Consider the following 24,219-nt stretch of genomic DNA (forward strand, 5'->3'; position numbering starts at 1 on the left):
AGAGCCTGAGATTGGGTTTGAGTACATGTGCTTTATTGAGGGAGGGCTTTTCAGGGAGAACTGTAGGAGAGTGAGGGATTTGGGAGGGGCAGAAGTAGCCAAGAAAGGATGTGGAACCAGGTATGTGCATGTGGCCTGACCCACCGGGGGCTTTGGAGCATCAACGCCACCACACAGTTGTCCCGCTTGGGGGCAGGAGCATTGGTTTTATGTATTCTTATTTCAGCCAGGTTTCCATAGCTCCTGAGGGTGATTCTTCAGAGACACAAGCAGAAGACCACAGTTAGCAGCCAATGTCCACAGTAGCTGGGGTGGTGCACAGCCCAGGGAAGGGGATCTGAATGAGGCACTATCACTATCTACCAAAACACCCTTAGCTGTGGTATGCCTGAAGGTCATCTCAGGTTTAGTCTAATCCATATTTCTCTCCTTCCATCATAAGAAGTCATCTCAGCACTAGAACAACTCTTTTCACGTAGCGAAGGACCTTATAGTTAATTCACAGAAACTTCATGTATGGTGGGCTGTGGTCTTATTTCTAGCAAAAGTGGCTGTCTCATCTCTGATTCTTAGCCAATTGAAGAAATATTTTCAGTTTTCCACAAGGCAAGCAATGCCATTTTTCTGCCAGAGTTTCTACAAATTGACTTGTAAAGGGTCTGTCACTATGACTCCAGTCCACAAGGGTCCTGGGTGCAAATTGGGACAGAAAACAAATTTTCTTAGAATTCAGCTGGTGTTCTGAATTCTTAAGATAATAGTGACCACTGCACTTGACAAATGATTAGTGATGTTTTATAATATCTATAATGATTGCCACTCAGTTACAGTCTTTGGTTGTTGGCTTGTGAATTTCCTTCTTGAAACTTTTCAAGAAGCCCTAGACTACAGGAAAGAAAAGAGAGCTCAAATTCAACACAGAACTCAGAGCCAGGGTCTCTCTTCCTGTTATCATTCTCTGCTTCCTGCAACTGTGCTTCTCAAAGACTCCCAAAGCCCCTCTGGCTCAACTCTAGAAGGAAAGCCCGATTCTGGGCCTGGCTGCTTGTCTGCCTAGAAACCCTGTGATAGAATGTGTCATTTCCCTCATACCTTGAGGTTCTGGATGAATATTTCAGAGTCCTCCAGAGAGGTGGCCAGAAAACCTGCAAAACAAAGCTGCAGTTTCCCCAACTGCTTTTCCTAGAGCCTGTGAGCCGGGAAAAAACTGAATGCCCTTGAAACAGAAGGCCAAGAGACTCTCTGCCTGTTGTTGTTGTTCTTATCAGATTCAAATTCAACATACATAAACAATTTAGACCCGCACTGTCCAGTACAGACGCAACCAGCCACAAGTGGTTATATAATAACATATTAGATTAGTTAAAATTGAATAAAATAAATTGAACATTCATTTCAGCACTCACATGATCTATGTTTCAATTGCTCATTAGCCACATGTAGCCAGTGGCTACCATACTAGAGATTATATATATAGAATATTTCCATCATCGTAGAGTGTCCTATTGGCCAATGCTGGTCTAGACATTTGTAAATATACTATGTATATGAGTATACATGTATATACACATATAGACACGTTATATATATGTGCATATATAATGTATATGTAGGATAATTTATCTTGCCAGCAACTGTTCAGGGCAGGAATTAATAGCTCAGATCATGCAAATACTTGCCCACAACTGGACTCGTACTCTGAGACTCTTTGTGCTACCCTACACAGCTGTCCACTGCTGGGCTAGAGCCCAATCTTTAGTTATTCATCACCTTACCTGTTTTGTTTCTGATCTTGTTCTGAATAAATAGCACCATCTTTGAGAAATCCAGGTTATGGCCCTCATTACCCCGACCCGCAAAGTTGGCTTAATGCCTGCTTTCCACCAAATGGATGGTTTCCCCAGATCCTGGGAACAGAAAGACCAACCCCACCATCACTGGATCCCCATAGCTGATGGACACTCCATACATGATTCAGCATCAGTATCCGGGGGTGGGAGAGGGGAATACAGCAGTACTCCATGAAACCGTTTAAGTCTATATTTGTAAAGTTCCTCCAGAGAGTATTAATGAACTGCACTGTATGTTTCAGCAAGCCCTCCCAGGTTCATGGCCTTGGTTCCTAGGGCAATGCAGAACCAAGGCTTGACTCCAACTGGGCACATGACCACTGTCTTTTTGTAAATGTGCTTTACAAGATGTGTGTTTAAAAATATTTTACTTATACTCCAAAATAAAAGCCATATTGAGGAAGGATATTTGCATAGGCAATGGGCCAGTACATGTGCCAAGCATTGTGCCTGGTATTTTATTTTATTTTATTTTATTTATTTATTTATTTATTTTTCAGCACAGGAAGATAATATTTATTATATTTTAACTAGAAACAGAACAGATAGCAAGTTCACGAGGTATGAATATTTTTTTCTTAAATCAGGCTTAAACAACAATAATAAAAAACAAGTCTGCATATATATGTTGGTCACTATTATAATCTTCAAGGGCACAAAAGCCAGCAGCATAAAGAAACATGAATAATGACTGAGAAGTTTTGATGTGCCAAAAACAAAGATCACTGCGTTGAACTCCTTTATTTTGTTAATATTATTATTAAACATTTAACAGGTATTAATTATTGTTATTTGGCAAAATATCCAACATGCACATGGTATTCCTACAAGAATCTTGCCTTAATATTGTTAATATTAACACTAAGTTTATTCCTCTCCAAAATTCAATGAGTTATGATTCCACTCTCTGTAAGTGTTAGTGTTAGTGGTAATATGCAAAACTGATTTTGTGTGCAGGGTTAAGTAGCAGATTGACTTCGCATTTGGTGGCCAGCTGTGTACCCTAATTTTTATCTATTTTCTTAATAAATTTAATTACATTTCATAAGCCCTGAGATAACCTGCTAATGATTGTATACTTTTAATCTATACTTTATTCCACTCAATTTGAACCCCACATAATAAGTCTTCAAAATTATTTACAGATGGTTGTAATTAAAGCAATGACAAAATTTACTACTTGTATAGATAAGACTGATAATAAGGCCTTTAACTAAGAGTTGCATATTTTACATGCACTTTTAACTTGCTAGGAGCAACTCTTAAAATTACATCTATCATTCTGTCAGAAAGCAGTTAAGTGCTTTTCATTTTGCTTACTTCTATATGTGTAACCAGACTCACTTTTTTCCTCCCGTGTAAAACAACTGTTTTTTTTCCTTCCCCAAATATTAATACTTGTCTTCCAACTGAACAATTGCTAAAAGGAACTTAGCATTTACACAGCACATTGATAACTATAGTGCTCAGCAGAGACATATGCCCATAATAGGCATCTGATAAATGTTTGTTCCACATGGAATGAATTGTAAGGCAGCTGTTTGAGTCATATACTGTTCATCATATACTGCAACTAATTTTGTTTAACTAGGAAATTCAGTTTACCAGATTTAATTCACCCTCAAGTATAAATCCAAAAACTTTAAATTAAAAAAAATCGATTTACTAATCCTCAGAAAAAGTAAACAAGTTAATCATAGTTGTTACTATGCTATTAGTTGATAGAAAATTTTTAAAAATTACTTTCCACTAAATATTGTGTACAACTAAGTGAGGGGAAGAAAGTTTTAAAAAATGAAAAGATATTAGCTAATTCTCATCATTTTCTCCACATTTATCCTTGCAGCTTATTTGTTCATATATTTATTCCTGTTAACTTCTCTAGCTGAAAGAGAATTTTATTATCTGAATGGAGTTCCCCATCACCTTACGTACAAAATATTAGTGAAAAGCTAGTGTAAATGTAAGATTGTATTTTCATGTCATGCCATATTTCTGCATTTATTTTTTGCTAGCATTAAATTTTTCGTATTTAAATGATGCTGTATAGAATATGAGATAATCTGCCAATTGCTATGATATTGCTTGCTTACAATATTCAGTTTTTGTTGATAGCTTTAAAGTATATTGCACACTTGTCATCTAGCACACTAATAAATAACTATTTTTGAAAGGATACACTGACAAATTCTTAAGTTAATGGCTTTAACCCAACATTTTTAGTCAGTTAAAGAACAGCAATGGCAAAAACATTGACAATACAGTTCATGGTCCAGTTCTCCCATCTTACGGTACAGGTTCCATCAGATGTGGTATCCCAAAAACAGGAGCTGCTGTGCGAAAGCCATATGCGCTCTTCTGGACCACTGCACATTTCACAATACATTTATAAGCTTTTCCCAGCTTAGGCAGATGTGTTAACGATAATTCCACTATGCTTGCGGTCCACTGGTTGATGTTGTTGTAATTATAATCTTCACCACCTAAAACCCCGTCTGCACATTCTTTGACAATATTGTGGGCTTCCTCAGCATTGAGGCCAACCTCGTCGCAGTGGCGATGGTACTCCTCCATGGTAGCGCCTGTTCTCCCTGGGGGCGGAGCTACGCCTGTGCCTGGTATTTCATACATGGTCTTATTTAACCACACAAGAATCATACGGCCGGGCGCGGTGGCTCACGCCTGTAATCTCAGCACTTTGGGAGGCCGAGGCAGGCGGATCACAAGGTCAGGAGATCGAGACCATCATGGCTAACACGGTGAAACTCCGTCTTTACTAAAAATATAAATAATTACCCGGGCACAGTGGAGGGCGCCTGTAGTCCCAGCTACTCGAGAGGCTGAGGCAGGAATGGCGTGAACCCGGGAGGCGGAGCTTGCAGTGAGCCGAGATGGCGCCACTGCACTCCAGCCTGGGCGACAGAGCAAGACTCCGTCTCAAAAAAAAAAAAAAAAAAAAAAAAAGAACTATCCACAATGACAGTGAAACTTCGAGTGCTTAAATAACCTGCCCAAGCTCTCATGAGCAGTAAACATAGAAGCAGAATTCTAATCCAAATGGGTTTATTCTCAAAGTCTGGAGTCTTGATGTTACACCACGCAATCCTCAAATGCGGTTTCCTTTTTTCCTTCTTTCTACTGCAAGAACCTTTGAGCTTCTCCCACTCCAAGAAGGCCATCTCCAGAAAGGAGATTGCCTGTAAGGACAGCCTAGAGAGTACTTGGGCTTAACCTCGCTCCAACTCTCGCCAAAGACTCCCCCAAAGTCTCCTGATCATTCATTGGACTGCCTTTCACTGGAATTAATTTACCCATTTTCAGCTTTTCTTTTTTTTTTTTTTTTTTTTTTTGAGGCAGAGTCTCGCTCTGTCACCCAGGCTGGAGTGCAGTGGCGCGATCTCGGCTCACTGCAAGCTCCGCCTCCCGGGTTCAAGCCATTTTCCCGCCTCAGCCTCCCAAGTAGCTGGGACTACAGGCGCCCACCACCAAGCCCGGCTAATTTTTCGTATTTTTAGTAGAGACAGGGTTTCGCCATGTTAGCCATGATGGTCTCGATCTCCTGACCTCATGATCCGCCCGCCTCGGCCTCCCAAAGTGCTGGGATTACAGGCGTGAGCCACTGCGCCCGGCCCAGCTTTTCTTAATGGTAGTAATGGCAGTCATATTAGCAACAGCTTCTATTTATCAAAGCACTTAGCACTTTGAAAGAAAGACATTATGAGTTCCTGCCTCAGTCTGGGTTGTCCCAGAAGTCCAACCTGAGACAAGACTTGGGTGCTGACAGTTTTTTGAGAAATGATCCCAGGTAACACAAGTGAGGAATTGGAGATGTAAAATAAGGAAGGGGAGAAAAGCCAATGAAGAGTGCATTAATGAGCGAGTTGCCACCGTGGGCAGCTGAGCTCAGTCCCACTAGGGACACTGAGTTGTCACGCTGAGGAATAGAGAAACCGGGGTAAAAACCTGTCAGTCACTGGGAGAGAGCTACCCCTCAAAGGTTAAATCCCTGCCACCTTTGGGCCGCCCTGCACGCAGGCTGTGCAGGCTTCCACGGAGGTGGGAGGAAGCCCAGGGGGAACACGGGGAGATTCTCGTGCCTGGGGTGGGAAGCAGTGGACGTGCAAGGGAGCTTCAGCTGCAGGTGAACTCAGAAGGGACTTAGGAGACTCAGGAGGGACATCACAGCATCTACTACATTCTCCTTCCACACAGAAGGTTCCAAGCGTAAGTAACTTGCTCACAGCCGGGCGTGGTGGCTCACACCTGTAATCCCAGCACTTTGGGAGGCCAAGGCAGCTGGATCACTTGAGGCCAGGAGTTCAAGACCAGCCTGGCCAACATGGTGAAACTCCGTCTCTACTAAAAATACAAAAAATTAGCCAGGCGTGGTGGCACATGCCTGTAACCCTGGCTACTGGGGAGGCTGAGGCATGAGAATCACTTGAACCCAGGAGCTGAAGGTTGCAGTGAGCTGAGATCACACCACTGCACTCCAGCCCGGGCAACAGAGTGGGACCCTGTCTCAAAAGACAAAAAAAAAAAAAAAAAAAAAAAAAAGAGATAAGTAACTTACTCAGGCTCACACAGCCAGTGTGGGAACTAAACCCAGGTCTGATTGATCAACCCCAAAGCCCTTGCCCTTTCCGCCACCTGAAGCTGCCCTCAAAATCCCTTGTAAGGTGCACCCACCACTGCTTATCCTATCTCCTCTTCACTCTGCCCTCAGGAAAATACCATCCACTGGCAAGTTGGTGCTGACACTCACAACCGACGCCTGTGAGGGGAAGGAAAATTTTGTCCGCTACCTGGAGCATGTCCAGGCTGTCATCACGGTCAACGCAACCAGAAGAGGAGACCTGAACATCAACATGACTTCCCCTATGGGCACCAAGTCCATTTTGCTGAGCCGGCGTCCAAGGGATGACGACTCCAAGGTGGGCTTTGACAAGTGGCCTTTCATGACCACTCACACGTGGGGGGAAGACGCCCGAGGCACCTGGACCCTGGAGCTGGGATTTGTCGGCAGCGCCCCGCAGAAGGGGGTGCTGAAGGAGTGGACCCTGATGCTGCATGGCACTCAGAGTGCCCCGTACATCGACCAGGTGGTGCGGGATTACCAGTCCAAGTTGGCCATGTCCAAGAAAGAGGAGCTGGAGGAAGAGCTGGACGAAGCCGTGGAGAGAAGCCTGAAAAGCATCCTTAACAAGAACTAGCGCTGCACATCCGCCTTTCCCACCGCCCTCCCTCCCCAGCTCCGCCTCTGTCCTCGCTCCACGTTTCAGGCAGGCACCTAGCAATTCCATCACCCGTACAGGCAATTCCGTCTTCTTAATCTGAAGCTTCACTCACTGTCAATGATTATTTTCATTACAATGGAAACAATCTTTTTTACTCTATGCCCCAAATATAGCGTTCCCAACAACATCCATGTCCTATGTGTGACTCTAAATTCTTTATTTCTGTCATTCAAATGGGTGATATCCTGAAAAAAAAAAAAAAAAAAAAACTGGGACAGCTTTCCCCTCATTTTTTTTTTTGTTTCTGAGAAAAGAACGTATTTTAAAAGCCACATAGAGTGACTCCAAGAACAATTGTCCATGGTCTCAAACAAGGGGCTGTTACATAACAAGAAAATCAAAGCTGAGGACAGGGTGTGAGCGCCACATCTCTGAAAGCACAGGAGACACTGTGCTATAAATCCTTTGGGGAGCGATGTTTTGAATTTAGTGAGATTTACCAGGGATGTAGATTAAGGTGATGTGATTCAAAAGATGCCATTCATAGAGAGCCCTAGTTACTGCATGGGGAAAGAGATCCAGGAAGCATGAGTGCTGGATATTTTACTACCAATGCCAAGATAATTCACTCTACTCAGCCGGCGTGGCAAATATAAAACTTACAGAGCGTGGCTGTGCTCTCACCAGCTGCTGCTCTGAGTTATGTTAAAATCCGCTAGAGCAGCCCAAATTTTTCTCAGTTTGTATAGAGTTCATCCCAGCCCCAATTTTCTGGGGCTCCTCACATAGCTACCCAAAAGAGAAAAAAAATTAAGACAAGCCTGGCAACACACCTGGTGAAGAGTAGTTTACTAGCTTTTCAAACAAGAATGTCCCTTTTCCTAAGTCACTTTGAGGTGTCTCAATCTGATCTGAGTGAGAGGCGACAGGAGTATTTTTTTTTTTTTACAGCTTTACACACACAGATGTGGGCTTTGATTTCCAAGTAATATAATGGAAGAGAAATCTCATACTCCCCCACAGTTTGATGTCATTAATGTGTTGGGAAAAAGGCCTCTGTCCCGGAAGAGTCATGGGAGGTGAAAGGGGCACGTTTGAAGATGCGAGCGCTATCTTCACATAGTTCTCCAGTTGTATGGAGCCTCTTCTGCCAAGAGAGGGCCATGCAATTCATCCCAGAGGAACCTGAGGCCTGAAGGAGGTGAGAGAAGACCTCTGTGAGGAAAGCACACAGTCACCTTCTCGGCAACTAAGCAGTCCCTGAGACCATTTAACATGCAACCCGAAGGTTATGGTCAATCCCAAAAGTCACCACTCCATTCCCAACTAGACATTACCAAAGTGACCTACCCAGAGATTGCTTCTCATCCCCAGTCCCAATGCACATCCATTCCCAAGAAATGCTTTGTCTTCAGCCTCTCCAGGCACCATCTCCCTTCCTGTGGGAGCAGAGAGCTTAGCCTGGAGCACCTTTCCTTCAAGCCAGCAACACAGAGCACTAGGTTCAATTCCCTGAAGGTGGCCACTTTAAGAGAGAAATCTGAAAACCCCATTTGCTTTCTTTTCTCCCATATTGGCATGGATTTCTGTCTTCTCTAACACCTTGTGACCTTCTCTATATCATGCTTTAAAGTGTAATAATATGATTTTTTAAAAGAAATTTATTACTTGTTGCAAAGGTCTTTTTAAACCAGTTTAGATTTCAAGAAAAAATAAATGGAAATCATCGAAAATTCATTTCACATTAATGGTCTAAAAATAAACCAAAGGACATTATGTGTGCATGTGTGTATAAGTGCACACAGAAATATATATACATATGTAGACTATATACATGTGTGTATATATGTGTATATATACATACACTTGTATAAATGTATATACACATATACCTATAATGTGTGTATGTGTATTTATTGAAGAAACAGATACCATACTCATTTCTAAAAGAATATTCAGAGAATATCAAGATGATTCTGGCTGAAAAAGGCCAGTGGAAATTCAGGTGAAAATGTTCATCAATTCCCATTGCATCACCTCTGTAATTTTTCAGCTCTCTGTATAAACATTAAATGTCTTATATAGCAGCAAAAATATAAAATAGTTGTCCATATTTTCACAGGTGTGGTGTAATTTATAAAATTAGAAAGCAACTTATCAGCTACTTAAGAGAAATGGCAAGTTTTGATATGAGTATACAATATATAAAAATATATATAGTGCTATATATATAAATATTTGGTCTCTATTTCATTTTTTGCATCAGTATTAATACTAAAATATGTCTCGCTAGTGATGTTTTTATGATATCCCTGATCCTAACTGAAGAGACAGTTATTTATAGTCATTTATTTTAAAAAATGAAAATAAGTGAATAATAATTAGGTTAACATTGTTGCTCCCTGTGACAAAATTTTATAAGCAAATTTCAAAAGACATGTTGTAAATTAGGAGGCTCAACAATAAAACATTATGCTCCAGAAATTATGTGAGATGTGCTATATTGTACATGAAAATACTTTCATCCATTCTAGGAACAGATAATTTAAAAATTGCCAAAGAGAGATCTAAAGAGCCTGCTTTACTAAGTATGCATAAAAGACTTATAATTAACATATAAATCATACACAAATTATTATCTACAGCAGTATTTTTCAAACTCTAGTTACATCCATTAGTGGGTTGTAAAATCAATTTAGGAGGTCAGTTTTTAATAAAATAGAGTAATTTAGAATACAGTAGGAGAGAAGAAAATCACAGGATAGGATAGGATAGAATAGAATAGAATAGAATAGAATAGAATAGAATAATCATGCATAATAAGGATAAGTATTGTTTCCTGAAATATTTGTTTCAGATGTGTGTGTGCACACGTGTGTGTGTCTGAGTGTGTGTACTGGATCACAATGTAAAATACATTTTTCATTGTGAGTGATGGTCAAAAATCTTTTAGAAACACTATTCTAAAATATATTAATCAGGCTAGACTAAGTTATGCTATAGTAACAGACAATCTCAAAATCTCAGTGGTTTAATACAACAAAGGTTTATTTATCATCCACACAAATTCCAGTGAAGGTTCAGGTGACTCCCCAAAGCCACAGACCTCCATGCAGTGACTCAGGATCCAGGCTGTTTCACCGTATGGTTTGTAATCATAGCACAAGGCTGCTACAATCACCATGCAGAAGAGAACCCAAGGAGGACATTCATCTGCTCTTCTATGTTTAGCCTGAAGGAGACACATGCATCGCTTCTGCCCATTGCCCACTGGCCAGTATTGGGCAATAGCCCTGGCTAAATGCAAAGCAACTGGGAAATCTGTGACAACTAAGGGAATATTTGGTGAGCATTAGAGTCTCCACTACAGAGAGTGCTTGACATTCCCTTAAAACATGTTCTTAAGAACCGATTTAACATGGCAATCACTCTTCATGGATGGTACCATGAACATTATTACAAACTGGCTGTACCTTACCCCATAGACCACAGACTATTCTAGAAAAAGACCTTAATAATTATTCATAAAATATTAATATACTATATTTACCAAAGTTAATTATAAAAACAATTTATAATTCTGTCCTCTGATATAACACTTAAACTCAATTATTAAAATCTTAGCCGGGCATGGTGGCATGTGCCTGTAGTATCAGCTACTCAGGAGGCTGAGGTGGGAGGATAGCTTCAGCTCAGGAGGTAGAAGCTGCAGTGAGCCGTGATCACACCACTGCACTCCAACCTAGGTGAAGAGCAAGACACTGTCCCAAAAATAAATAAATATAAACAGAGTCTGTTACTAAAAATAGATATTGGCGGATATAAGGTCCAAGGTTTGATCTTGTGATCCTGAGACACTCCTTTTTAATACTTAGGTTTAAAGATGGATTTCCAAAAGATTAAGTTTAAAAAATGATTTTTAAAAATTCCGATAGAGTTACTACTCTATGTCTTCATTCGTATCACTTATAAGTTAATGCATGGTTTTCATGTGATCAGCGCATTTGCTTGGAGTGATTATATGAAAACCACACAGTGTAAGACCTTCAGGACACATAAGTATTTTATAGTTAACAGAAAGAAGTGCTGAATTAGGGGAAATGGTGATCTCACAGCTAAAGTGTTTAGATGCAAATAGTCTAATTTGGTAGAAATTTCTAAAAAGCAAAATGCAAAGATAAAGGACAGTGGTTGTGGAAGAGAGTTAGGGGATCCTTAAAACTCTGGAATTGTGAAATGCCAGAGACAGAATGTCTCCTAGGCTAATGTAGGTGGTTCAGTTGTGGCCAGCAGGGTGGTTCTTTGTCTCTAAAGAATAAGTCAAGAGAAAGGGTGGGAGGATGGAGGGCACTCAGCACATGGGAGCTTAGAATAAATGAGAGTCAGGGTGACCAAAGCTGGAAGACAGTGTCTGGCAGCATTCAGGGTAGGGAAACATGAAGCCTGACATAAGGGAGAATTCCAGTCTCTGAAGAGCTGAAGTCTATCGAGGGATACAGGCCAATACATTGGCAAAGCCACCCCCAGAGAGAGTGCATTAAAACACCACCACTTGCCAATGGTCCCATTGCATGCTCACCCACAGCCTCCTCATGCCTTATGCAGCTTCCCAAGAACATTAACACCGGTATAAACGATCCAAGCAGCTAGATCTGCAGAAAACAACACCCTCTCTTTGAATTGTAAACTAATCAGCTAGTACTTGAGTTTTTCCATTAGTCTCTTGTGCATTTAGTTGAACCCTTTCCTTGGCTTCAAAAAACCCTGATCAAATTTGGTTTAAGATGTATAAGGGACCTGGAATCAAAGTCTGAGAACCTAGGGTAAATTCTCCAAGCCAAGGTCCTGGCTCCATGTTTCTCTTAGAACTGAGAAGAGACTCACGTTTGTGAACCTGGGAATAGAATGATCTCAGGTGAGGGATGCACTCAGCCTAAAAAGATGAAGATTCTGTGTGGCTAAATGTTTAATGCTCATTCATGCATGATTTGCGGTGGGATGGGATGGGAAGGCAACTAGAAATCTCAGCTCACAGAGTTTCAGGTGCCAGAAGAGCCACATGAGGCTGGTAATTCCTTAGGCCTAACGTCACTGTTACTGATTTCCAACCAGGAGGCTTTGGGCCAACCTGCCCTCCCCATCCCAAGATGGGGTGTGCCAGCTCCCCATCCCAAGATGGGGTGTGCCACCTCACAACACCCTCAAAGATGTCCCTCTGAATCTGAGAGGATATCCCATGAGCTACTCAAACTAGATGGAGGGAAGAAGCTAAAATTTATCTTTTTCTTTTCTGGCACCATGTCCCAGGACCACTGATGGGCCACAGGTGACAGGCAAGCTCCTGGTCACAAGGATGCAAGCATGAGGGTAAAGGGGCAGGTACAGCTGGTGAGGGCATCAGCCCAGTGGAGTCATTGACCAGGAGTGTATCTTCTGATAAAATAAGTTTCAACTCAAAAACTCTGTTTGAATACAACATAAGTCAGTGTGGCTTTTTATGTTGTTTGCTTGCTTTTATCCATGCCTGAGAAAATGGAGTCAGGTATTGTACCAATCAAGATACCAATCATCAATGTGCCAAATGCCATGTGAGTTTTGGGGTGACTTCATTCACCAGCAGTGTCCTAACCACAAATCTATGTTAGAAAAATTTTAGGATAAACTTGATAGTAATGGCTGCTTGAAGATTTTGTTTGTTTGTTTTTCGGGGTTTTTTTTCATTTAGGTTTTGTTTGTTCGTTTGTTTGTTTGTTTTTGAGACAAAGTCTTGTTCTGTTGCCCAGGCTGGAGTGTAGTGGCATGATCTCAGGCTCACTGCAACCTCCGCCTCCCAGGTTCAAGCGACTCTCCTGCCTCGACCTCCCCTGGTATTACAGGCGTGTGTGACCATGCCTGGCTAATTTTTAAAATATTTTTAGTAGAGATGGGGTTTCACCATGTTGGCCAGGCTGGTGTCGAACTCCTGACCTCAGATGATCCACCTGCTTCAGCCTCCCAAAGTGCTGGGACTACAGGAGTAAGCCACCATGCCCGGCCAGATCTTTCTTATAATGTAAGCTTCAAGTCGAGGAGAGAACTAAATGGAATTTCCCAACATGAAGGTGGAAGGAAGAGACAGGTTCCAATGCCAGGTTTAGAAGTGTCTTCTGAGATGTTAACTGAATTTTGCGGCAGACTGTTGGTGCATCCTCTGTATCAGGGAGTCTGCAAACTATAGCCAAACCCAGTACGCGGTCTGCTTTTATAAATACAGTTTTGTTGGAGACAACTGTGCTTGTTTGTTGTTGTATTGTCTATGGCTGATTTCATGCTACCACAAGAGAGCTGAGTAGTTACAGCAGAGGCTGTGTGGCCTACAATCTGGCCCTTTACAGAAAAGGTTTGCCAACCTCTGCCCTATATCTCCTTGGCCCACCTAAAGGTTATCTGTAGGCAGTTTCCATGCATGCCAAAGGCCATTCTATCACTCTGCCCAGCTGCAGAAAAGCCCCAGACCTCGTGTGGAGCAGGCCACAGGTGATAGGGCATCAGTGCCCTAGGGCCACCCTCTCCTGAGGAGAAATGGGATGGAGAGCTGGTAGACGGATAGCTCAGCTTCCTCACCTCCTGCTTGGGACAATTTGAAGATGTTCCACCCGCTCTCTTGAAGGGTCCCCAGTGGGATGGAGCCCCAGCTGCTCACAGTGGTGGCCACCTCATTAATGCCCCCTGCGTGGACACATCCATTCCCCATCTCATGCCTCCTCTTTCTCCAGTCAGGAGACAGAAACCATACCAGTGGTTTTAACAGAGAGAATTTAATACAAAGTACCATACAATTAGTATAATGAATTGTTACCTAGTTAATTCAAAAAGCAAAAGAAAACACAAGAATCACATGGACCAAAAAGTCCAACATTTGTGGGAGTGGGGGGCTCACGCAATGAAGATGCCCTCCTGGCTCGGGCAGGATCCTAAGGCATCCGTGGCACCCCAGCCTGCCTTACCCACCCACAGTGCCCGGAAGTGGAGCACAAGTGCACGTGTTAGGACCTGAAAGATGGGGAGTTAAGACCTGGCAGAGTGAAGCCAGAGGAAGCTCAGGTGGAGGTCTGTAGTGGTCCCAATGTGCAAATCAGTCATCTGACTTGGGTACAGGTGCATGAGGCCAAAAGATTAGAGAAACCACCCAGCAGCTGGTTCATGCCAAGATTTCCCTCAGGACCACTGGCACTCTCTCAAGGAAACCCATGCAGATTTTTTCTTGTAAAACCAACGCTTACAGTCTTTAGGGAGAAGCCCAGCGGGTGGTATGGCGCTGGTTATGGAATACAAGTGCCTAGTGGGCCACTTCTTGTCAGCAGACCTTCAAGAAGCAGCTAGCTACCACCTAAGAGGAGAGGTTGGAATTAATACAACTTGGAAGTCTCAGAGGTGGGAGTGTGCTGGGACCCAGACCAAGGAGGGGCATCAGCAGGCTAGTGCAGGTATCTCTGCAGAGACTGCGATGAGGCTGGTCCTGCAAATGCTGGGAAAATGGAGAACTGGACTCAGCTGCTGCTACAGGAAGGAACTGCCACTGCCAGGGTGAAGAAGCTGTCTCAGTCCATTTGGGCTGCTGTAACAGAATGTCATAGACTGGGTACCTTATAAACAACACAAATTTATTTCTCACTCTTCTGGAGGCTGGGGGATCCAAGATCAAGGTGCCAGCAAATTCAGCGTCTGGCAAAGGCCCACTTCCTGGTTCATAGATGGCACCTCCTCACTCCGAACTCACATGCTAGAAGGGATGAGGGGGTCTCTAAGGTCTCTTTCATAAGGGCACTAATCTGGTTCATGAGGGCTCTGCCCTATGACCTAATCACCTCCCAAAGGCCCCACTTCCTAATACCTTCACCTTGGGGTAAGGCCTTCAACATATGAATTTGCAAGGGACATAAACATTCAGACCACAGAAGGATTGCTGGGGTGGTGTGGACAAGAGCAGAAAGCAAACAAAAGCCAGCGAGTGCCTTCTTCCTCCTCCAGACTTTCAGTCTTCCCCCAGCTCCCCTCTAACAGCACCTCCCAGGGAGCAGCTGGCTAAGCAGGACCTGGCTGCAGAGTCCCAGCCCCAGCATCACTGGGTAGAGAGGGGCAGGTTTGAAGCAAGAGACAGGAGCTTACTATCCTTCCTGCGACACCACCCTAACAAACCGCCTGCACCCAAGACCTTTCTCCGGGTCTGCTTTGGGGGACAACCCAACTTCATCCAAACCTCCTTATCTGTTGATACCTAACCTTATTACTTAGCAGTTATCTTTGGGGTTACAAGCAAAGAAAACCAACTCTAACTAGCGAAAACAAGTAAGCAGTATGTCAAAAACATGTGGTGTAGCCCTCAGGCCTGAAGAACCAGCCAACACCATCCTAGAAAAAAGACAGTGATTGGAGCAAGGCTGGGGACCCGGAAACACAGCAAGGATTGGCAGGCAACCTTGCCGGGGTCTCAGGCGGCAAGTGCCAGCACCTGCAGCCTGCGCTATACTGGACTCAGATTTCTAATTTCATTGAGGGTGAATCTGATTGGGCTGGTCCGGGTCACTGGCCCACCCTGAGGCCAGAGGAAGGCAGAATATCTTGATACATTAGGGTTGTATCCAGTGTGGGAGGAGCGGCTACTCAATACAAAATCAGGGCTGTCACCTGAGGGACGGGAGGTAGGAGTGGCAGATGTTAGTCTGCTGTCTCAGGTTGGGTCCTCCAGAAGGCAACCCTGAGACAAGGAGTGAAGGGCAAGTCATTTATGTGAAAGGAAGCATCTATATCTTGAGAAGGAAAGTGAGACACGAAAAGGAGGAGGCCAATACCGGAGGCACTGATCAGTGCATTTCTTCACAGGCATCTGAGGCTCAAACCCACTGGGGAGCTCCAAGAGACTATGTAGAATATGCCTAAAAGTTACCCTAACAGCAGAGTGAGAGGGCTGGGGAAGAGACCTGCTCCTCCAGGTCCCGTCCACCCTTGATTGAGGGCTGCTCCCGGGAGCATGAACTCCCCAGGACAACCAATCTGCCCAGGTATGGACCAAGCATGTGCCTGTGGCCACAGGAAACTCTAAGGCAGAGTCGCACACGCCTGCCGCGAGAAGCTGGAGTGCGGTGAGACTTGGGGGATCTGGCGAGACACCCTGGGTGGCTGATACAACAGCAGTGACGGGTCACTGACTCAAGTGCTGGGAAGATGAGTGGGGCAGGGGCTACCACACAGCTGCTGTATGGAGCAGGCACTCTGGGAGAGTCTTGCTCCCAACAGACCCAAAGCTGCCTCAGGGAAGAGGAGACCGAGGCCCTGCATGGATGCTGTCGGGACCCTGCATGGATGCTGTCGGGACCCTGCATGGATGCTGTCGGGAGGCCTGCTCTGACTCCATGTTACTAACAAGAAACTCTTTATGAAACCAAAGATTTCGTGCGTGTTTCAGGACCCTGGGGAGAGAGAAAGCCCAGAAATGAACCCATTCTGCAGCTCTACAGAAGAAAACAGAACTAGATTGGGAAACAGAACTAGATTGGGACAGTGGAGTGTCAAGAAAATGAGCAAGTGAGTCAAATCCCTGGGACCCTTGCACAGTCAGAGCCCAACTAGGCTCTAAAGCGTGCACTGCAGCCAGCCCTGCATTTCACAGTATGGGCTCAACCTTCAGGCTGAGGTGCACCTGCCAGGAAATGGTGCTTACCTGGTCCCTGCCTCCCACCCTCACCTCACCTCCTTCCATTGTCCCCCTGCAGTCCCCTTTATGTCTCCTTGAACAGGCCGAGTTCACTCCTGCCCCAGGGCCTTTACACTTGCAGCTCTCTCTGCCTGAAATGCTCTACCCTCAGCTCTGTATGTGATATACCCCATGTTGTCATTCAGGTCCCACATCACCCCTTCACAGGGTCTTCCCTTACCACCCAATCCAAACTAGACCCCCAGTCATTCTAGCAGGTCACGCTAGTTGAGTCCCTTCATGGTAGAGTCTCTGACTTTCTCTTCGCTACCCGCTTGCATGGCGTTTCCTTCCTCCCCCACTAGAACATCACATCTGTGAGAGCAGGACCACGTCCCACTGTTCCTTGCTGTCTCCCAGTGACCAGGACCATGCCTGGCACAGAACAGATCCCAATCCATTTTTCTTGACTGATTGAATATAATATAAAAATGACCTTTCTTTCTAAAGCAATACCCCCTGCCTTTTAAAATAATATAAACTGAACACATAGTTCAGAAAATAAAAAGACCCAAGGAGGAAAAGAAAGGCTTTGCAGTGGCTGTTGAAGCTGAAGATAATAGACACACAGGCCCAAAGCCTAGTACATCCTGGGCTCCAGCTAATGGTTTCTATCATTCTCCCTTAAGCTTTTAAGTTATAAATATTTCAAAACTCAGTGGAATGGGTTCCCCATTCATCTTTTAGAAAAAACAACAAAAGCCTAATTCTTTCTTGAAATCCAAACCTCAAATGAATTTGGAACAAGATTGTTTCAAGCTCTAAATAGAAAGGAAAGGTGACTCCATTTAGTATTATATTATTTGTAACCAAGAAATAACAGAATGTAATTTGTGACTCTGTCAATTTCCTCTAATAATGTGTAGTTGTCTCACCAGATGCTTTTTGTAGGCCGATACTATAACCCATTTAAACACATTTACTCAGCTCCCTTAATGTACTTTGGTGAAGCTACACAGGGAAGGAGACTTTTTTTAATTGGCATAACTTATTTTTGGACTGTGAGTACAAAGATAGATACTGGAGGGCAACATAGACATTTGTGTAAAGATTCTGGTTTTGAGTAATTTCTGTGTTTTAGGATGTGACACAGTAAGTACCTGTGTGCATGTGTGTGTGTGCACACGCAAGATCATGCACACTCACATGGCCACTGCTATATTATGGTAATTGAGAGCATTGAGAAGTCTGAAAAATCGCCCCTTAATGGCACAGCACACTGTCAGGCACATAGTACATGTTCAATAAATGCTTGCTGGACTAATTAACTCACTTCTAAACAAGGAACTTACACAGTGACACTTCACCTTGCTTCTTGAAACCTGACCTAGGTTGCAATCTCTGAGTGAGAAAATTTTAAGTATCTCATACTAAGTACATTTGGTACCCATATGGTGGCAGATGACACTGGTGCACTGCCTATGACCCCTTGACCCTTAGTACTTCCTTGTATTTCCAGGCCTGACTTCCAAATGCCAGCACCTAGACATCTTTGCCTGAGAGCTTTCTTGGCCCCCAGAGAGCACACCTCCCACTGACTGCCAGGAGCTGGAGGATTAATACCCCAGCTCCCTCACCCCTCAGGGAGGCTGACTCTGAGGCACGTGATCTATGCTGTCTGCCAGAGCTCCTCAGTGGCCCCTGGTGTGAGCTGATTTGGTGGTAACGTCCTCCTTATTGGTTCCCTTCTCTTCCCTGCCTTCTCCACTCTCCTACTTGTGCATCCTAAATTCATCTTCCAATGAAACTTCGCATTCTCTGCTTTGGGATCAGCTTCTGGGGGAATCCACATTAAGAGAGATGCCTTTAATAATTTCATCTCTAGCAAAACACTCATCCACATAAGCACACACTTGTGCTTGAAATGGAATGAAGATGAGCCGATGTCATCAACCAGCATGTTTCTGTGTGAAATCCAGATGCTATCTGAGTCTCTAACGAGACTTATGAACCAGGATGAAGAGCATGTCTCTTTCCTAAATGAGGACGGTATGGTGGCCATTTAACAGAGCATCCCTGTCCTCATGAAGCTGACCCACCTACATTCCCAAGGTCCCTATTAATTAGACAAAGGATGTGCAAGCAAAGAAAACATTTTAATGAAGGCTTCGTTGGCAATGCCAGATGGGTCAACTATGGTCTAATCCAAACAGGAACCCTCACCCTTTTATCATTTGCTCTAAAATATCAAAGCATTACCCCTACAGTGGCCCCAAATACATTTTATCCCATCAAGCCTGGGCATTTTAAGAGCTCTTCTCTCCTGATTTCTTCTTGTCTGACTTTGTCTTTCCAATCATGGTCTCCACGATCACAGCGGTTTCTTCATATGTCTGAATGCTCTCCGTGGAAATCTTCTCGATAGATTCCACCACTTCCACTGTCTTATAGGCCAAAGCCTTGGGAGGGCCTTTTTCTGGCAGGCTTCTGCTCCTAGTCCCAAGCACCTCAGCTCCATCCTGATCAGCCGCAGGCTTTGGAGGCTCAGGTATAGATGGTTCCTCTGCACCGGGTGTGACCATGGCACAGGGTCTCCTGGACTCTTCGTCCCGCTCCTCACCCTCACGTTTCTCTTCAGGGCCTTCCAGCTCTGCACCATCTGGCTCAATCTCCTTGTCTATAGGCTGCTGGTCAATTGGTTGTCCATCTTCTTTCTCCTGCAGACCCACCTGCCCATTCTCTAAAGGGGGCTTGGGTGACTCAGGAGAGGGCTCCACCTGGCCGTCATAAAGCACAGAGTCTTCCGCAACAGAAACAGCCACCCCACCTTTAGCTGTGATGGAGGAGACATAGAATCTAGGGTCCACGTAATTGGCATCCCCTGTGACCAGCACGTGCCGCTCTTTGGTGTAGAGCTCAGTGGGGGTCTCAGGCTCTTTGGGGCTTCTCACTTTCTCCTTGACCTTCCTGTATAGTTTCCCAAAGCCTTTGCTTATCTGCCCTCCATCTGGCACATCCTCTGGAGCCCCTTCTTGTGTCAGGGGACTTACTTCTTTACTTTCTGATTCAAACTTAGATTCACTTTCCTCTTTAAGTACCACCTGTACCAGCTTTGTGTCTTCCAAACCTTTTAATGGTGCATCTTCCAGAGCTCCGTTGGTTTTGTCTTTTGTTATAATCTCTTTTCTCCTTGGAACATTCTTGGGGAGGGCTTTTTGTCTTGGTTTTGCTGCTGTTATATCCTGCAGAGCTCTGGTAAGATCTGGAAAAACACACAGGCAGAAATTCAAGTATAATTGTCACTGAGAGAGAAAGAAAATACGCTGGTTGGAAAATAGGCTAACTCTCTCGGAAACAAACGCCTATAGTACTAGGGTGGGGCTTCCTTCATCTGGAGCAGAAGCAATGGAAGAAAGGCCCTGGCTTTGTTGCTCCATGGCCCAGGCTGAGGTCCAGCTGGGCGACTCTGGACAAGTCACTGGATGCCTTTGGGCTTCCAGAGGGAAGGTGCTCCCTGTTCTGACACCCACAGTTCACCACCACACCAGGCAGAACCTACCAAGGTATGCAAGGCCATTGTCCTGACACTCAATGGGAGCCCTAGCCCCTGTTCCCACTGCAGCCCCACTGAGCTCACAGCAGACACTTGGATCCACAGAAGCCCATTCCTCAAAGTTATTCTCTCCTCTGACTTCCTCAAAGGAGAGACGACAGAGCTACCTGGGGGCTTCTGACATGCTCAGATGGCCTTGGGCCTGGAGATGGAACCCGTTCACGGTGGATCTACCTCATTCCATAATTAGCTCAAGCTAGATAAATGCCACCCGGCTGTGATCAGCCTCCCCTTCCTCCCAGGCCAAGAGAAGAAGCGATGCTATGAAATTCAGAAATGACAGGAATCCCCTGCCCCAAGTCCACCCTCCTGCTTCCAGACTAGCTGAAAGGAAAAACTAAAAGTTGAAGAAAACACATAAAATTCTCACCTGGTATAATCTATGAGGCTTCCCGGCTCCACCCACATAGTGAATTTTGAACTTTTTCAGCCCAAAAGTCATCCCCTGCATCCCTTCCCACTGGTAACCACAGGGCAAGACCGATCAAGCACCGGCATCAAGCACGGCTGATTCACAATAAAAAGAGAGCCAGGTGAGCCGGCAACAGCAGACATGGGTCACAAAGCCACAGGTGCAAGGGATGCAGAGAGGGACAGGGCACAGGAAAACTGCTGGGAACTGGTATGCGAGGAGGAGGTGCTTACAGGACTGCACAGAATCTCAGGGCCCAGTGCCAAAAAAACCCACAAGACCCCTTGTTCCAAATTATTAAGAACTTCAGAACAGCATTAGCAGAGCATTCAGCCAAGCTGGGACCGTTCTGAGAGCAAGCCCCTGCAGGGCCGCTCGTCTGCAGACCTGGCCCTGGGCGTCCAGCTGCAAGGCTGTTCCCTTTCCAACCATGTTGACTCTGGAACACCATTTCCACAAAGCCCTCTGAGCTATCTGGAAATAAGGATTTCAAGGCCCTATATGCATGAGCATCCATATTACCACCTTCTCTTTTCTCCCCAAATGCTGCGCTTGTTCAGAACTGGGAGATTTCGATGTGAGGTGAGGTCTTACAGACCAAATGTTGAAGGCAGATGCCACATTTACCAGCCAAGCTGTTTCTGCCTGGTTTGAGGGAGGGGAGAATGAGAGATGACTGAGCAGCCACTCTGCACTGGACACCATGTTACACGCGTTGGCACAAACCCTTTGATTCAATGTGGGGAGGCGGTGGGATGTGATCCAGTGTTCACTTACTGCCGAGCGGAGGGAGCAAGAAGTGAATATTGAGTTGTACTTTTTGCCCAATTAAATGCCTTGTGTTGCAAAAGTTATTGCTGTCAAACCATAAAACAAATATAAAAATACAAAATAAATGCCTCACATTAGGGATGGCATGCCCAAGGTAGCCTAGCCCCCTAGTCGATTTTTCTCCTTATAAACTTCTCAGCTCAGTCACTTAGCAAGCCAGAGAGGGCAGAGGGTGGGAAGGAGTCCTCCTTCACATAAAAGCATTTAATTTCCAGATGGATCTGAAGCAAGCATGAATGTTAAAGTCAGGAAGAGAGCCGCTTGGTTTTTTTCAAGACAGAAAAAAACAGAAGTCCAGTGTTGGGGAGCGTTACCTTTCCCACCGGATCCAGTGCTGAGAGAGACTCCATGGCTCTGGGTGAACAGGGGAATGGGAGTTTCAATGAAGGCAGAGGTCAGCCTGGCAGAAAGAACCAGAAAGAACAAGCCAAACAGAGGTCAGGGGCAAGAGCGACTCTCGTTAATGTTGAGCAAAAATGAAAAAAAAGCTTTCTCTAGACCAAATTGCTCACGAATTAGATATCATTTTAAACAGACAGCCATACACACATTTACATACTGGATGAGGACATAAAGGAAGTGATCATTTCTTTGAGCTCAAGAGTCATAAACTGTGAAACATACCTATAAAAAATTGTAAAGTGGGGATTGCTTATAACCTAAAAATGCCACTTCTCCATGAGACAGTGCCTTTTTTATTTTTTTGCCTTTTGTTTTTTTGCCTTTTTGATTTTTTTAGTTAGAGTAGTCAACCCAGGCTGAAGTATTTAGGGCAAACAGAGTATGATATCTCCAACTTAAGATATATGTATATATACGTGTATGTATATATATATACACACACACACGTATATATACGTGTGTATATATATATACACGTATATATACGTATATATATACACACACGTATGTATATATGTGTGTATATATGTATATGTGTGTGTATATGTATATATACGTATATATATACGTGTATATATATACGTATATATACATATACACACACATATATACATATATACATATATCTACTCATATATACGTATATACATATATACATATACATGTACACACACACATCATATATAAATAGAGAAAAAATGATAAAGCAATTGAGATAAAATATAAACAACTGGTGAATCTGGAGTATTCAGGAGTTCCTTGTTCTATTCTTGCAACATTTCTATCAATTTAAAATTAGACCAAAATCAGAACTTATAGATAAATAAAAGAGGTATCCAGTCACCTTTCTGTGAAGCCCTGTCCCAAAACAAAAATGTTTACAAAGTCACCGAAATGCCAGCTCCAGACTTATTCTTGCAGATGTGTGCATAGTGTTCACTGTGACATAAATATAATGTGGAATCATGCCAGATACACCGACCAGCACTGGAGAAAGAAAAATAAAATCCTGCTTCTCCTGCCAAGCATTCGAGTGCTCACAGCCAAGAGAGAGCACCCAGCGCGAAGGGAAGAGCTGCTCCTGGTGGGGACCTCAGTTGTGGGGGGCTTCTCTTTTCATTCAGTCGAAACCCAGGAATTTAGCAAGACTGAAGTGAAGAATCACAAATTAATTCCCAACCCGTTCTCTGGAAATCACCGTAGCTATGAATACCAGCATAGCTGGAGAGAAAGAGAGAATTTCCCAGCTTTCTTAAAGTGAGTAGGGATCGACTCACAGCTCCATTATGGAGAAGACCAGACAGCCACATAGTCACAGCCACAGACTGACTCAGCAAGGTGCTAAGAATTGTGAGGATGGCAGCAGGAGCATCACCAACACCTCTGAGTGCCCTCAAGTGCCAGGCTCCGTGCCACGTAGCTCACCTGCAGCACCTCATTAAATACTCCTGGGCATCCCACCTGCTGGGACACTTATGTCCCCAGAGGCCTATGAGCAAAACACAGGCTTCTCAGTGAGGCCTTTTCTGACCACCCTACTTAAAACTGCAAGCATTCCCCCATCACCCCTATTGCCACCACCCTCCTCCCTGCGGGAACTTCCTCCTCAGCACTGGTCGTACCTTCATCCTCTGTCTCCCCTACTAGTTATCCAACACCCATGGGGTCAGGAATTGTTCTGTTTCCTTCCCTGACACATGCCCACTGCCTATAACTGTGCCTGGCACACAATAGGCACTCAATAAAGAGTTGTGGAAGGAATAAGTGGCCTGGATGGGGAGGGCACACGCTCACCTGTTGCCTTCAATCTCGATGATACGATGATACCGGTCCAGCTCATTCTTCAGGGTTTGCTGGGCGACCGCCAGCTGCCGGCAGTCGTAAGAAGACTTCTCCAGGACCCGCTCTGTCTCCTCAATCTCCTTGCGCAGTGTCTCAATCTGCTCGTTATAAAGCTGAATCTCATCGTCATAACACTCATGGGCACTTTTAATAGCTTGTTCCAGAGTTGTTGTCTGTGGGCAAGGACACGCTGTAAGAAAATCCATCCCCCTTCTTCTCTAAGAGACAGACCTCACCAGGAAAAGGAACCTGGACTCGGTGAATGTTTTATGTTGTTTGTGTGTTTCTCTGTCCATTCGAGATTAGCAATGAATCACTTTGGAATCCTTAAGCTAAAAAGCAATGTGAAAACTGAGCTC

General features: G+C 44.3%; 2 protein-coding genes and 1 pseudogene across 9 annotated transcripts in view; 1 reads left to right on the plus strand and 2 right to left on the minus strand.

Moving 5' to 3' along the window:
- The window catches only part of PCSK2 (proprotein convertase subtilisin/kexin type 2), a 258,472-nt gene extending 248,901 nt beyond the window's left edge, over positions 1-9,571 (plus strand). For all 3 annotated transcript variants that reach the window (NM_001201528.2, NM_002594.5, NM_001201529.3), the window contains one exon: positions 6,577-9,571. In NM_001201528.2, the coding sequence (NP_001188457.1) occupies positions 6,577-7,063 (487 nt within the window). In that variant the 3' untranslated portion in view covers positions 7,064-9,571. The remainder of the gene's footprint in view (positions 1-6,576) is intronic.
- On the minus strand, positions 3,782-4,459 carry DYNLT3P1 (dynein light chain Tctex-type 3 pseudogene 1; annotated as a pseudogene).
- The window catches only part of BFSP1 (beaded filament structural protein 1), a 75,316-nt gene continuing 69,994 nt past the window's right edge, over positions 18,898-24,219 (minus strand). For all 6 annotated transcript variants that reach the window (NM_001278608.2, NM_001278607.2, NM_001161705.2 and 3 more), the window contains 3 exons: positions 23,813-24,033; positions 21,931-22,016; positions 18,898-20,022 (listed from right to left, as the gene is read on the minus strand). In NM_001278608.2, the coding sequence (NP_001265537.1) occupies positions 19,067-20,022; positions 21,931-22,016; positions 23,813-24,033 (1,263 nt within the window). In that variant the 3' untranslated portion in view covers positions 18,898-19,066. The remainder of the gene's footprint in view (positions 20,023-21,930; positions 22,017-23,812; positions 24,034-24,219) is intronic.

The sequence above is a fragment of the Homo sapiens genome, chromosome 20, assembly GCF_000001405.40.
Source record: "Homo sapiens chromosome 20, GRCh38.p14 Primary Assembly".
NCBI lineage: Eukaryota > Metazoa > Chordata > Mammalia > Primates > Hominidae > Homo > Homo sapiens.